General features: G+C 37.7%; 1 protein-coding gene and 1 pseudogene across 19 annotated transcripts in view; both read left to right on the top strand.

The window, feature by feature from the left end:
* Positions 1-14,971, top strand: part of SPATA6 (spermatogenesis associated 6) — a 210,816-nt gene that overhangs the window by 134,068 nt on the left and 61,777 nt on the right. Inside the window, exon 12 of one of the 19 annotated variants that reach the window (XM_047422900.1) lies at positions 12,001-12,074. The exons of the other annotated variants lie outside the window; for them this stretch is intronic. Within the exon in view, the coding sequence (XP_047278856.1) occupies positions 12,001-12,074 (74 nt within the window). The remainder of the gene's footprint in view (positions 1-12,000; positions 12,075-14,971) is intronic. 19 annotated transcript variants of the gene reach the window in all.
* On the top strand, positions 11,979-13,161 carry PPP1R8P1 (protein phosphatase 1 regulatory subunit 8 pseudogene 1; annotated as a pseudogene).

The following is a 14,971-nucleotide window of genomic DNA, read 5'->3' as shown; positions in this document are numbered from 1 at the left end:
TCTATTTTATTGGTTTAATTATCTATTTTTGTACTAATAATGTAGTTTTTCAATTTACTATAGGTTTGTAGTAACTCTTTATATCTAATGACATAACTCCTTCACGTTTGTTCTTGCTTCAAAATTGCTTTTCCTATTCTTGGTTCTTTTAATTTCCATCTGTATGTCAAAATCATCAGCTTGCCAGAACCCACTGAGTTTTTGATTGAGACTACATTGAATCTATGCTTTGATTGGAGGAGAACTGACATCTTAACAATATTCAGTCTTCCAGTTCATGAAATTGTGTCTATTAATTTAGATCTTTAATTTCCACCAATAATTTGACATAGTTTTCATTTCATAGGTCTAGCATGTCTTTCTATAGATTTAGCTCTAGATGTTTGATATTTTTATGCTATTATACCTTTTACAATTCTGTTTTTTCTTGGTATGATGAATATAATTTACCTGCTTTTAGTCATCTGTAATCCACTGACCTACCTACATTCACGCATTGATATTAATAGATTGTAGTTTTTGAGTGTTCTAATGTATAATAATATAATCTGTAAATAATGATAGTTTTAAATCTCCCACTTTAATCTTTATGCATTTTATTTATTTTTCTTGTTTTGTTATTTAGGGTTTCTAAAATAGTATCAAATAGAAGTGGTGATAGACAGTTTCTTGTCTTATTCAACATGAAAGATGAAAGGTTTTTATAATTTGAAATTAAATATGATACTTTTTGTAGATTTCTTGTGGGTATTCTTTGTCAGATTACAGAAATTCCTTATTTTCTAATATTTTTTATTTTTAAAAATTACAAATATAAGGTTTTATTCCATTGTATCTACTGAGATGATTATTCTGCTACCACTCCTTATTTTAATATAGCAAATCACTTGATTTTCAAGTCTTAAACCATGGTCACATTCTTGAAACAAATCTCTTATTCATGGTTTTCTTAAAAATATAATCACTGGTTTCAATTTGCTAATATTATACCTAAGATTTTTGCATCTAAATTAATGACAGTGATTGGTCTGCAAGTTTCCTTTCTTGTAATATTCTCCTCAGATTTTGGCTGACCTCATAAAAAGGAAATAGTGGTTGGGAAATATTCCCAGCCTTTTTCAGGCAGCTTCTATGCAAAATTATTTCCTTCTTAAATGTTTTGAACAAGCCTATTTTTGTGGGATAGTTTTCAGTAATGGATATAATTTCTTTAATATCAGTTATTTGGGTTTTCTATTACTTGGTCAGTTTTATTAGGAATTTTCCTGTTTCATTTATATTATCAAACTGAATGATATGAAGATTTTCATGATATCTTCCTATGCATTTTTTCTTAAATATTTTAAGAAATTTTATTTTAGGTTCAGTGGTACATGTACAGATTTGTTATATAGGTAAATTCATGACTCAGAGGTTTGCTATACAGAATATTTCCTCACTGGGGTACCAAGCGTAGTACTTGACTTTTTTTTTTCTTGAACTTCTCTCTCCTCTTATCCTCCTCCCTCGAGGAGGCCCCATTGTCTGTTGTTGCCCTCTTTTTGTTCATGTATTCTCTTTATTTAGCTCTCACTTATAGGTGAGAACATGTGGTATTTGGTTTTATGTTCCTGCATTACTTTGCTAAGGATAATGGCCTCCAGCTCCATCCATGTTCCTGCAAAGGATGTGATCTCTTTCTTTTTTAGGATTGCGTAGTATTCCATGGTATGTATGTACCACATTCTCTTTATCCAGTCTACTGTTGATGGGCAGTTAGATTGATTACATGTCTTTGCTATTGTGAATGGTGCTGCAGTGAATATACACATGCATGTATCTTTGTTGTAGAACAGTTTATATTCATTTGAATATATACCCAGGCATGGGATTGCTGGGTTGAATGGTAGTTCTGTTTTAGGTTTTTGAGAAGTCACCATACTGTCTTTCACAATGGTTGAACTAATTTACACTCCAGCCAGCAGTGTATAGGCATTCCTTTTGTCTGCAGTCTCACCAACATCTGTTATTTTTTGACTTTTTAACGATAGCCATTCTGACTGATGTGTGATGCTATCTTATTGTTGTTTGTATTTGAATTTCTCTAATGATTAGTGATATTGTACATTTTTTCATATGCTTTTTGGTGCATTGTATGCCTTCTTTTCAAAAGTGTCTGTTCATGTCCTTTGCCCACTTTTTAATGGGATTGTTCATTTTTTGCTTATGTGTTTAAGTTCCCTGTAGATTCTAGATGTTAGATCTTTGTCATATGTATCGTTTACAGATATGTTTCTTCCATTCTGTAAGTTGTCTGTTTACTTTGTTAATAGTTTCTTTTGCTGTGCAAAACCTCTTTCATTTAATTAGGCGCCATTTGTCATTTTTGCTTTTGTTGCAATTGCTTTGGACATTTTCTGTCATGAGATCTTTGCCTATTCCTATGTCAAAAATGGTATTGCCTAGGTTATCTTCCAGAGTTTTTACAGTTACAGGGTTTACATTTAGGTCTTTAATCAATCTTATGTTGATTTTTGCATATGTTTTAAGGAAGTGGTCCAGTTTCAATCTTCAGCTAGCCAGTTATTCCAGCACTATTTATTGAGTAGGGAGTCCTTTCCCCATTGCTTGTTGTTGTCAGCTTTGTCAAAGATCAGATGGCTGTAGGTGAGTGGCTTTATTTCTTGGCTCTCTCTTCTGTTCTATTGGCCTATGTGTCTACTTTTGTATGAGTACCATGGTATTTTGGTTACTCTAGCCTTGTAGTATGGTTTGAGGTCAGGCAATGTGATTCCTCCAGCTTTTTTTTCTTTTTTTTTTGCCTAGGATTGCCTTGGCTTTTCAGGTTCTTTTTTTGTTCCATATGAATTTTAGAATAGTTTTTTCTAATTATTTGAAAATTTTCATTGGTAGTTTGATAGGAATAGCATTGAATCTGTAAATTGCATTGAGCAGTATGGTCATTTTAATGATATTTATTCTTCCTATCCATGAGCATGGAATTTTCTTCCATTTTTTGGTGTCATCTCTGATTTTTTTGAGCAGTTTTGTAATTGTCATTCTAGAGATATTTCACCTCCCTGCTTAGCCATACTTGTAGGTATTTTATACTTTTTGTGGCAGTTGTGAATGGTATTGCATTCCTGATTTGGCTCTTAGCTTGGGTGCTGTTAGTGAATAGGAATGCTACTGATTTTTGTACATTGATTTTGTATCCCAAAGCTTTACTCAAGTTGCTTATCAGTTCAAGGAGCTTTGGGGCCAAGACCATGGGGTTTTTAAAATACAAAATCATGTCATATACACACAGGGATAGTTTTACTACTTCTTTTCTTATTTGGATGCCTTTTGCTTCTCTCTCTTGTCTGATTGCCCTGGCCAGGACTTAAAATACTATGTTGAATAGGAGTGGTGAGAGAGGGCATCCTTGTCTTATGCCGATTTTCAAGTGGAATGCTTGCAGCTTTTGCCTGTTCAGTGTGATGTTAGCTGTGGGTTTGTCATTGATGGCTCTTACTGTTTTGAACTATATTCCTTCAATGCCAAGTTTCTTTAGGGTTTTAACATGAAGGATTGTTGAATTTTATCAAAAGCCTTTTCTGTATTCATTGATATAATCATATGGTTTTTGTTTTTAGTTCTGTTTATGTGATGAGTCACATTTATTGATTTGCATATGTTGAACTAACCTTGCATCCCAGGGATTAAAGTCTACTTGATTGTGGTGGCTAAGCTTTTTGATTTGCTACTGGATTCAGTTTGCTAGTATTTGGTTGAGGATTTTTGCATCTATGTTCATCAAGGATATTGGGTGGAAGTTTTCTTTTTTTTTTGTTGTGTCTCTTCCAGGTTTTGGTATCAGGATGGTGCTGGCCTCATTGAATGAGTTGAGGAGGAGTAGCTCCTCCTCAATTTTGGGGAATAGTTTTAGTAAGAATGGTACCAGCTCTTCTTTGAACATCTGGTAGAATTTGGCTGTGAATCTACCTGATTCTTGGCTTTTATTGGTTGGTCGGCTATCGATTGCTGATTCAGTTTCAAAGCTTGTTATTGGTCTGTTCACAGATTCAATTTCTTCCATGTTTAGTCTTGGAAGGATGTATATGTCCAGGAATTTATCCATTTCTTCTAGATTTTCTAGTCTGTGTGCATAGAGGTGTTCATAGTAATCTCTGATGGTTATTGGTATTTCTATGGAATAGTAGTAATATTCCCTTTGTCATTTATTATAGTGTTTATTTGGATATGCTCTCTTTTCTTGTTTGTCTAGCTGACTATCTTATTAATTTTTTCAAGAAACCAATTCCTAGATTTGTTTATCTTTTGTATGTTTTTTTATGTCTCTGTTTCCATCAGTTCAGCTCTGATTTCGGTTATTCTTTGTTTTCTGCTAGCTTTAGAGTTTGTTTGCTCTTGTTTCTCTAGCTCTTCTAGTTGTGATGTTACGTGGTTTGAGATCTTTCTAACTTTTTGATGCAGGTATTTAATGCTATAAATTTCCCTCTTAACACTGCCTCAGCTTTGTCCCAGAGATTCTGATATGCTATGTCTTCGTTCTCATTAGTTTCAAAGAACTTCTTAATTCCTGACTGTATTAGTCAGGGTTCTCTAGAGGGACAGAACTAATAGGATATATGTATACATGAAAGAGAGTTTATGAAGGAGAGTTGACTCACATGATTACAAGGTGTCTCATGATAGACTGTCTGCAAGTTGAGGAGCAAGGAAGCCAGTAGTGGCTCATTCTGAGTCCCAAAATCTCAAAAGTAGGGAAGCCAACAGTGCAGCCTTCAGTCTGTGGCCAAAGGCCCAAGACCCCATGACAAACCACTGGTGTATATCCAAGAGTCCAAAAGCCAAAGAACTTCGAGTCTGATGTTTGAGGACAGGAAGCATGCAGCATGGGAGAAAGATGAAGGCTGGAAGACTCAGCAAATCAGCTTCTTCTACCTTCATCTGCCTGGTTTTCCTAGCCGCACTGGTAGATGATTGGATGGTGCTCACCCACATTGTTGGTGAGTCTTCTTGAGGATGGGTCTCCTTCTCCCAGTCCACCTACTCAAATGTTAATCTCTTCTGGTAACAGCCAGATACACCCAGACACAATACTCTGCATCCTTCAGTCTAGTCAAGTTGACACTTAACATTAACCATCACACTGCCTTAATTTGATAATTAACCTGAGTTATTCTGGAGCAGGTTGTTTAATTTCCATGTAATTGTATGGTTTTGAGCGATTCTCTTGGCTTTGATTTCTATTTTTATTGTACTGTGGTCCAAGAGTGTGGTGGTATGGTTTTGCTGTTTTTGAATTTGTTGAAGATTGTCTTATGTCTTATTGCATGGCTGATCTTACAGTGTGTACCATGTGGCGATGAAAAGAATGTATATTCTGTTGCTTTGGGGTGGAAAGTTATGTAGCTGTCTACTAGCTCCATTTCGTCAAGTGTTGAGTTCAGGTCCTGCATCTCTTCGTTAATTTTCTGACTCAGTTATCTGTCTAATACTGTCAGCAGGGTATTGAAGTCTCCACTATTATTCTGTGGGAGTCTAAGTCTCTTTGAAGGTCTGTAAGTATTTGCTTTATGAATCTGGGTGCTCTTGTTTTGGGTACACATTAATTTAGGTCTTCTTGTTGAATTAAGCCCTTTATCAATATGTAATGCCCTTCTTTGTCTTCTTTGATGTTTGTTGGTTTAAATTCTCTTTTATCTGAAATTAGGATGGCATACTCTGCCTTTTTCAGTTTTCCATTTGCTTGGTAGATATTTCATCATCCCTTTATTTTAAGCCTGTTGATGACATTGCATGTGAGATGGGTCTCTTGAAGACAGCATACTATTGGGTCCTGTTTCTTTATCCAGCTGGCAGCCACTTTGTGCGTTTTAATTGGGGCACCTAACCCATTTACATTCAAGTTTCTTATTGATATGTATGGATTTGATCCTGCTATCATGTTGTTAAGTGGTTGTTATGCTAGACTTGTTTGTGTGGTGGCTTTATAAGTGTCACTGGTGTGTGTACTTACATGCGTTTTTGTAGTGCCTGGTAATGGTCTTTCCTTTCCATATTTCATACTTCTTTCATGAGCTCTTGTAAGGTAGGTCTCGTGTTAACAAATTCCCTCAGCATTTGAATAGGATCAAATTGAAAATGATCATATTTCTCCTTCATTTATGATGCTTAGTTTGACTGGATATGAAATTCATGGTTGGAATTTTTTTCTTTACGACTGTTGAATACAGGTCCCCAGTCTCTTCTGGTTTGTAGGGTTTATGTTGAGAGGTCCTCTGTCAGTCTGATAGGGTTCCCCTAGTGAGTGACCTCCCCTTTATTCTCTAGCTGCCTTTATCATTTTTTCTTTCATTTCAACCTTGGAGTGTCAGATGATTATGTCTTGGGGATGATCTTCTTGTGAAATATCTTGCAGGAATTCTTTGCATTTCCTGAATTTGAATATCGGCCTCTCTAGCTAGAATGGGGAAGTTCTCATGGACGATACTGTGAAATATGTTTTCCAGGTTGCTTCCTTTCTCCTCATGTCTTTCAGGGATGCCAGTGACTTGTAGATTGGGCATCTTTACATAATCCCATATTTCCAGGAGGTTCTGTTCATTCCTTTTCAATTCTTTTTTCTTTATTCTTGTCTGACTGTTGTATTTGAGAAAGCCAGTCTTCAAGCCCTTAGATTCTTTCATCAGCTTGGTCTGCTGTTAATACTTGTGATATATGAAATTTTTGTAGGTTTTTTTTTTTTCTTTTTGCTGTTTCAGGTTGGTTATATTCTGTATACTGGCTATTTTTTCTGTCAGCTCCTGTGATTACTGTGATTATTAGCTTCCTTGCATTGGGTTTCAGCAGTCTCCTGAATCTCGACGATCTTCATTTCTATTCATATTCTGAATTCTATTTCTGTCATTTCAGCCATCTCAGCTCAGTTAAGAACCCTTGCTGGAGAGTTAGTGTGGTTGTTTGGAGAAAAGAAGGCACTCTGGCTTTTTGGGTTGTCAGAGTTCTTCTGTTTATCATCTTTGTGGTCTTACGTTCTTTCAGTCTTTGAATTTGCTGTCCTTTGAACGGATTGTTTTGCTTTTTTCTTCTTTAATGCCCTTGGGGGTTTGATTATGGTATAAGGTGGGTTTGGTTGACTGCCTTCTATTCTAGTCTACTACTGGGTCTTGGAGGAGCCCCCTCTGCAATTACTGTCTTCCTCTCTGCATTTCTTTTGTTGGGGGTTGTGGTCCATGGAGCTCCCTCAGGCTGGGCCTTCAGTTGGCCAGCTAGCTGTGTCCTTGCCCATAGTCTGCTGTTTGTGTGCTTCCTGGGAGAAAGATGGGGTTGTGTCTACTCACAGAGTTCAGGTGGATGTGGGACTTTTGGGTTGGAAACTCTTACTGGGTATTGCCTGTCTGGCTATGGGTAGCTAGGGATTGGTGGGGTTTCCAGCCCTGCCTTTCAGGCTTTTTCAGGGCAGCAGGAGGCTGTGCCCCTCAACACATTCAGGCAAACGTAGGGCCACTTGGCTGGAAAGCCTAGCAGGTGTTGCCTGCCTGGCTATGATTGGCAGGGGTTATAGGGCCATGCACACTGCCATTCAGGCATTTCTCAGAACAACAGGAGGCTGCACCCTCCAGCCAGGCTCACACAGAAGCAAGGCTGCTGGGCTAGAAGCTCTAGCAGTTGTTGCCTACCTGGATACTAGTGGTGGTGGTAGCTGGGATCTCTTGCTCTGCCATCCAGATATTTCCTGTGATAACTGGAAGCCGCACCCTCCAGCTGACCTCACACAGCAGTGGAGCCACTGGGCCAGAGGCTCTAGCAGGCGTCACCTGCCTGGCTACCAGTGACTAGGGCTGTTGGGGTCTCATGCTCTGTGGTCTGGATGTTTCATGTGACAACAGGAGGCTACACCCTCCAGCTGAATTCACACAAAAGTGGGACCTCTGGGCTGGACACTCTAGTAAGCATTGTCCAGCTGGCTACCAGTGGTGGGGGTGGGAGGATTGGCTGACCAAGTTTGAACCAAAGTACGGCTGCTGGGCTGGAAGTTGCTGCTGAGGCCTGGCTGGCATGCAGTGGTGGAGCAATGTTACTGCTCCCTGGCACCGTAGCTGACTGCAGCCTCTATTGGGTTTGTGGTACTGGTGCTGGTCTGCTCCAGGGCCCAAGGCTTGTGGCAGTCCTCTTGGACTCAGAAGTTCCCCCTGCAAAATGTCCAGGTGGCTCTCTGCCTCAGTCTAGAAGTATTGTGGAGGAAGGTGCAGGATGGGTGACGGGGTGATTCTCCTGTTCCTGGTCTTGCACAGGTCCCTGTGGAGAGTGTAAATTCCCCTGGGGACTGTCACTCACCCTTTCCAGTGTTGGAGGGGTCCTCCTGGTTCTGCGCTGAGCTCAGATGGGCGGTGCCCAACTTTACTCCTTTGTGCTCTCTGTGTTCCTCTGCCCTGATGGATTCCAACGTGGTTTCTCATATGAGCGGCCTGCAGCATCTGTGTTCATCAGCCCTTTTGTTTCCTTTCCATGACAGTGACACACACAAGCTGCTTCTAGTCTGCCATATTGGCCCCGCCCACTTTTAAACACAAGTATAGAATTTATAAGCATATAAGTATCTCCCTTTTCAATCATGATAATAGTAATTCGAGTTTAATTTGTCCCCCTATGTTTTAAGAATTTGTTCATTTTATTATTCTTTTTGAATAACAGTTTGTGTCGCTTTTACTTGTCTGGTACAAGTCTTTTTCTGTTACATTAACTTATGCTGAAAGTTTTATGTTCTACTTTTTCTTCTAGTCCTTTAAAGTAGAGGCTTATGTTATTGATTTTAAGCCATTTCTAATCTATACATTTAAGAATGTAATTTTCCCTCTACGCCACTGCTTTAGATGCATCTAATAATTTTATGTTGTATTTGTATTATTCACTTCAAAATATATTCTAATTTCTATTGTGATTTCTTCATTGGCTCTGTGGTAATTTAGAAATGTATTTCTTAATTTTCTCTTAGTTCGTTATTCTCTCACCTTTGCTTATTGACAGCTACTTTAATTTCTTCTCAGCTAGAGAATATACTTTGAATTATTTGAAATGTATTAATATTTCATCAAGACCTGGCATATAGTCAGTCTTTGTAATTCTGTATGTACTTGTTAAGAATATGTACTCTTAACAAGTGTACAATATAGAGGGAAGCATTCTGTGTAAGTACAGGTATTTCATGTTTATTATGGTGTTCAGATCTTTTCTATACTTACCAGAAAACACTGTACAAAATTAATGAATTATTTACCCTCTTTTATCTGTAAAATAGATGTATCTACTTGAGATAATGAAAACTAATAATGTCACTTATTACTCAATTCTAAAGGCTTTTTATTTTAAAAAAGCTTTGTTAAGATATAATTCACCTACTATACAATTCACACATTTTAAGTACACAGTTCAATGGCTTTTACTATACTCAAAAAAATCACATCTAATTTCAAAACATTTCATCACCCCACAGAGAAGATATTTTGTAACCATTGGGAGTGAAGTACCATTCTCCCCCTCCTCATTTCTCCTCCACTCCTAAGCAGCAACAAGTCCAATTCCTGTAGATGCCCATTCTGCACATTTCATATAAATTGAATCATATGATATATGGTCTTTGTGACTGGCCTCTTATACTTAATATAATATATTAAAGGCTTGCCCAGGTTGTAGTACATGTCACTTTATTCTTTTTTATATGGCTGGATGGTATTACATTGTATAGATAATGACACTTTTTTTTATCCATTCATCAGTTGATGGATGGATCATTTAGTTTGGGTTGTTGCCACTTTTTGGCTGCTAAAAAATAATAATACTGTCAACATTTATGCGATAAATCTATTTTGACCATTTTGAGGAATTGCCAAACTATTATTTATAATGGCTTACCATTTTGCCTTTTCACCTGGCATCCTTGCTGAACTTTTTTATTAGCTATCTTTTCTGATTATAGCCATCCTAGTGTGCATGAAGTGGTGTCTTATTGGGGTTTTGATGTACATTTCCCTTCTGACTAATGATCTTGAGCATTATTTCATGTACTTATTGGTAATTTGTATATCTTCTTTGGAGAAATATATATTCAAATTATTTTCTGATTTAAAAATGTGGTTGTCTTTTTATCGAGTTTTTAAAAAACTTTTTAAAATTTTAGACTCAGGAGGTACATTCTATGTTTGTTACATGGATATATGGTGTAATGTGGAAATTGTGGTTCTAGTGTAATTATCACCCACATCACCCAAATAGTGAACATTGTGCAGAATAGATAATGTTTCAACCCATATTTGCCCTCTTCTCCCCACCATTTTTGGAGTCTCCAATGTCTATTCTTTTCATCTTTGTGTCCAGTGCACCTATTGTTTATCTTCCACTTATAAACGAGAACATGCAGTATTTGATTTTATGTTTCTGAGTTAGTTCATTTAGGACATTGGCCTATCTGTGTTGCTGCAAAGGACATGATTTCATTCCTTTTATGGCTGTATAGTGTTCCATGGTGTATATATATACATCACATTTTCTTTGCCCAAGTTCCATGACTTGGTTATTATCAACAGTGCTGCAATGAATATATGAATACAGATGCCTTTTTAATGTAATTATTTATTTTCCTTTGGGTAAATACCCACCAGTGGGATTATTGGCTCAAATTGTAATTCTATTTTTAATTCTTTAACATGTCACCATACTGTTTTCCATAGAAGTTGAATTATTTTCATTTCCAAGAACAGTGTGTAAGCGTTCCCTTTTCTCCACATTCATGCCAGCATCTGCTGTTTTTTGACTTTTTCGTAGTAGCCATTCTGATGCATGTGAGATGATATCTCATTGTGGTTTTAATTTGCATTTCTCTGATGATTAGTGATGTTGAGCATTTTTTTGTGTGTTTGTTAGCCGCTTTTATTTCTTCTTTTGAGGAATGACTGTTCAGGTCCTTTGCCTGGTTTTTTATTGGTTTTTCTTTTTTTAGTGTGTGTGGGAGTTGTTTGAGTTACTTGTGGATTCTAGTCCTTTGTCAAAGACATAGTTTGCAAATATTTTCTCCTACTATGTAAGTTGTCTGTTTACTATGTTGATTATATATTTTGTTGTACAGAACCTTTATAGTTTAAGTCCTATTTGTCTATTTTTGTTTTTGTTGCATTTGCTTTTGGGGTTTTTGTCGTAAGTTGTTTGTCTAGGCCAATATTCAGTAGAGTTTTTCCCTAGGTTTTCTTCCAGGCTTTTTATAGTTTCAGGTATTACATTTAAGTCTTTAATATATCATGAATTAATTACTGTGTATGGTGAGAGATAAGGGTCCGAGTTTAATTTTGCATATGGCTAGCTAATTCTCCCAGCGCTATTCATTGAATAAGGTGTCCTTTCCCCATTGTTTGTTTTTGTCAACATTAGTTAATTGTGGGTATGTGGCTTTATTTCTGGGTTATCTATTCTATTCCATTGATTATGTGTCTGTTTTTCTTCTAGTACCATGCTGTTTTAGTTACTATAGTTTTGTAATATAAGTTAAAGCTATATAATGTGATGCTTCCAGATTTGTCCTTTTTACTTAGGATTGCTTTAGCTATTCAGGCTTTTTCTTTTTTTTTTTTTTTGTTTCATATGAACTTTAGGATTATTTTTTCTAATTCTTTAAAAAATGATGTTGGTAATTGGATAGGAATTGTGTTGAATCTGTAGATTGCTTTGGGTAGTATGGTCATTTTAACATAACTGATCCTAATGCACCATGAGCATGGGATGTTTTTCCATTTGTTTGTGTCACTTACAATTTCAACAGTGTTTTGTATTTCTCCTTGTAGAATTCTTTCACCTCCTTGGTTAAATGTATTCTTAGGTATATTTCTGTGTGTGTGGCTATTGAAAATGGGATTGAATTCTTAATTTGGCTCTCTGAAGGTTACTGGTTAATAGAAATGTAACTAATTTTTGTACACTGATTAATTTTTAATTTTTTCCTTTGGGCCTACCAAATGGGAGGGGAAGATGCAAGATGGTGGCAGTCACAGACTCTGGCTCCAGCCTCCCGCTGCTCCACTGCCCAACCTGGGCAGGTAAGCCCCCTTCTGGTTGACATCTGGATTTAGTTAAACGAGACAAACTAATTGAGAAACTGATTATTGGTGAAAAGAAGTATTACTTATTTGGGATAAACCTTGATTTGTGTGACTTTACCACTGAACACCAGTCTTGCTCTTGGATCCATACTGCACTTGCCTACCACAAGCATCTGAGGAGAGTTTTCCTGATAGATCTCAACAGTACACACAGCACTTTCTTGGTCACATTCAGTTGGAGCCTCACAAGCCTCAGCAAATTCCGACTGATTCCAGGGTCTCATTTGACGCATCCACAGGGGCATACACCTTGCGCGAGATACTTGGGCCATTGCCATTGGCTCTGAAAGGAATTGAGAAGACGGGTGAAGAGGATGATTAACTCAGGGGCTTACTGGGGCTTCCAGAGGAGGAAACTAAGCTTGATAACCTGACATAGTTCAACACTGCCCACAACAAGTGGATTTCCACCTTTACCATTGAGGAGGGAAATCTAACATTCCAAGACCAAAGAGGAAGAGGAAGAACTCCCGGGTGACATTCAGTGAGGATGATGAGATCATCAACTCAGAGAATGTGGATCCCTCAGTTTGTCGATTCAGGAACATAGTGCAAACTGCAGTGGTCCCAGTCAAGAAGAAGCTGGGGGAGGGCCCTGGCTCCTTGGGCCTGGAGGAATCAGGGAGAAGGCGCATGCAGAACTTTGCCTTCAGGGGAGGACTCTACGGGGGCCTGTGCCCTACACACAGTGAAGCAGGCTCCCAGTTTCCACAAGACAGCACTCATTGGTGGCTTGTTTATGCCATATCCAAACCTTGCCCCTGTTGTGGACTTGACTCCCATTGTGCCAGCAGCAGTGAACACGAACCCTGCACCAAACCTTGCAGTCCATAACCCTGAAACTGTAAATGAACCCAAGAAGAATAAGTATGCAAAAGAGGCTTGGCCAGACAAGAAGCCCACATCTTCCTTACTGATATGATATTTTTGGTCATGGAGAAATGTGGGATTGGGTGGGAATGGGGTGGAAGGTTGATGGGGAGCTAGTGAACTAGGGAGAAAAACTTTCCATGTGTGCAGTATCAGTTTTGTTTTTTGGTGGGGTCTTTAGGTTTTTTCCAAATATAAAATTGCATCATCTGCAAGGAAAGATAATTTGACTTGTTCGTTTCCAATAAAGTTGGATGCCCTTTCTTTCTTTCTGGTCTGATTGCTCCAGATAGGACTTCCAGTGCTATATTGAATAACAGTGGTGAAAGTGAGCATCCTTGTCGTGTTACAGATCTTAGGGGAAGGGTTTTCACTTATTCCCGACTCGGTATGATACTAGCTGTGGGTCTGTTGTATATGGCTTTTATTGTGTTGAGGTATGTTCTTTATATACTCAGTTTTTTTGAGAGTTTTTATTATGAAGGGGTGTTGAATTTTATAACATACTTTTTTAGTATTAATTGAAATGGTTATATGATTTTTGTCCTTCATTCTGTTGATACGATGTATCACATTGATTGATTTGCTTATGTTGAACCATCCTTGCATCCCTGAAATAAATCTCACTTGGTCATGATAAATAATCTTTCTAATGTATTGTCAAATTCGATTTGCTAGTATTTTGCTAAGAGTTTTTATATCAATGTTCATCAGGGTTATTGATCTGTAGTTTTCTTTCTCTGATGTGTCTTTGTCTGGTTTTGGTATCAGGATAGTACTTGACCATGTAATGAGTTTGAAAGTGCTCCCTCCTCTATTTTTTGGAATAGTTTGTTTAGGATTGGTATTAGTTCTACTTCCAATGTTTGCGTTGCAAGGCATGATGGCTCATCCCTGTAATCCCAGCATTTTGGGAGGCCAAGGCGGGAGAATCTCTTGAGCCCAGGAGTTTGAGACCAGCTTGGGCAACATGGTGAGACCTTGTCTCTACAAATAATAATAATAATAATAGAGTAGATAGGTGTGGTGGCGTACATCTGTTGTCCTAGCTACTTGGGAGGCTGAGATGGGAGAATTGCTTGAGCCCTGGCAGTCGAGGCTGCAGTGAGCTGTGATCACACCGCTGTCCTCCAGCCTGGGCAACAGAGTGAGATCCCATCTCAAAAATAAAATAACAACAAAGTAATAAAATAAAATAACAAAAATAAATGTTTGATAAAATTATTTAGTGAATCCATCGAGCCCTGTGCTTTTCTTTGCTAGGAGACTTTTTATTACAGTTTTCATATTATTACGTATTAGTCTATTCAAGTTTTGGATTTCCTCATGGTTCAATCTTGGTAAGTTTTACGTGTTTAGGAATTTGTACATTTTTTTTAGGTTTTCCAATTTATGGAATACAGACGCTCGTAGTATCCTCTAATGATCCTTTGAAATTCTGCCATATCTTTTGTAATACCTTCTGTTTCATCTCTGTTTTTATTTATTTGGGTCTCCTCTTTTTTTTTTTTTTCTGTTGTTGTGGCTAAAGGTTTGTTGATTTTGTTTATCCTTTCTTTTTTATTATACTTTAAGTTCTGTGGTAGATGTGCACAAGATGCAGGTTTTTAACATCAGTATACATGTGCAATGTTGGTTTGCTGCACCCATCAACTCATCATTTACGTCAGGTATTTCTCCTAATGCTATCCCTCCCCCAGCCCCCCACCCCTCGACAGGTCCTGGTGTGTGATGTTCCCCTCCCTGTGTCCATGTGTTCTCATTGTTCAACTCCCACATATGAGTGAGAACATGCAGTGTTTGGTTTTCTCTTCTTGTGTTATTTTACTGAGAATGATGGTTTCCAGTTTCATCCCTGTCCCTGCAAAGGACATGAACTCATCATTTTTATGGCTGCATAGTATTCCATGGTATATATGTGCCACATTTTCTTAATCCAGTCTATCATTGATGGGCATTTGGGT

The sequence above is a fragment of the Homo sapiens genome, chromosome 1, assembly GCF_000001405.40.
Source record: "Homo sapiens chromosome 1, GRCh38.p14 Primary Assembly".
NCBI classification, from domain to species: Eukaryota; Metazoa; Chordata; class Mammalia; order Primates; family Hominidae; genus Homo; species Homo sapiens.
Note: the sequence above shows the minus strand (reverse complement) of the source record. Positions and strands in the feature narration are given on the sequence as shown.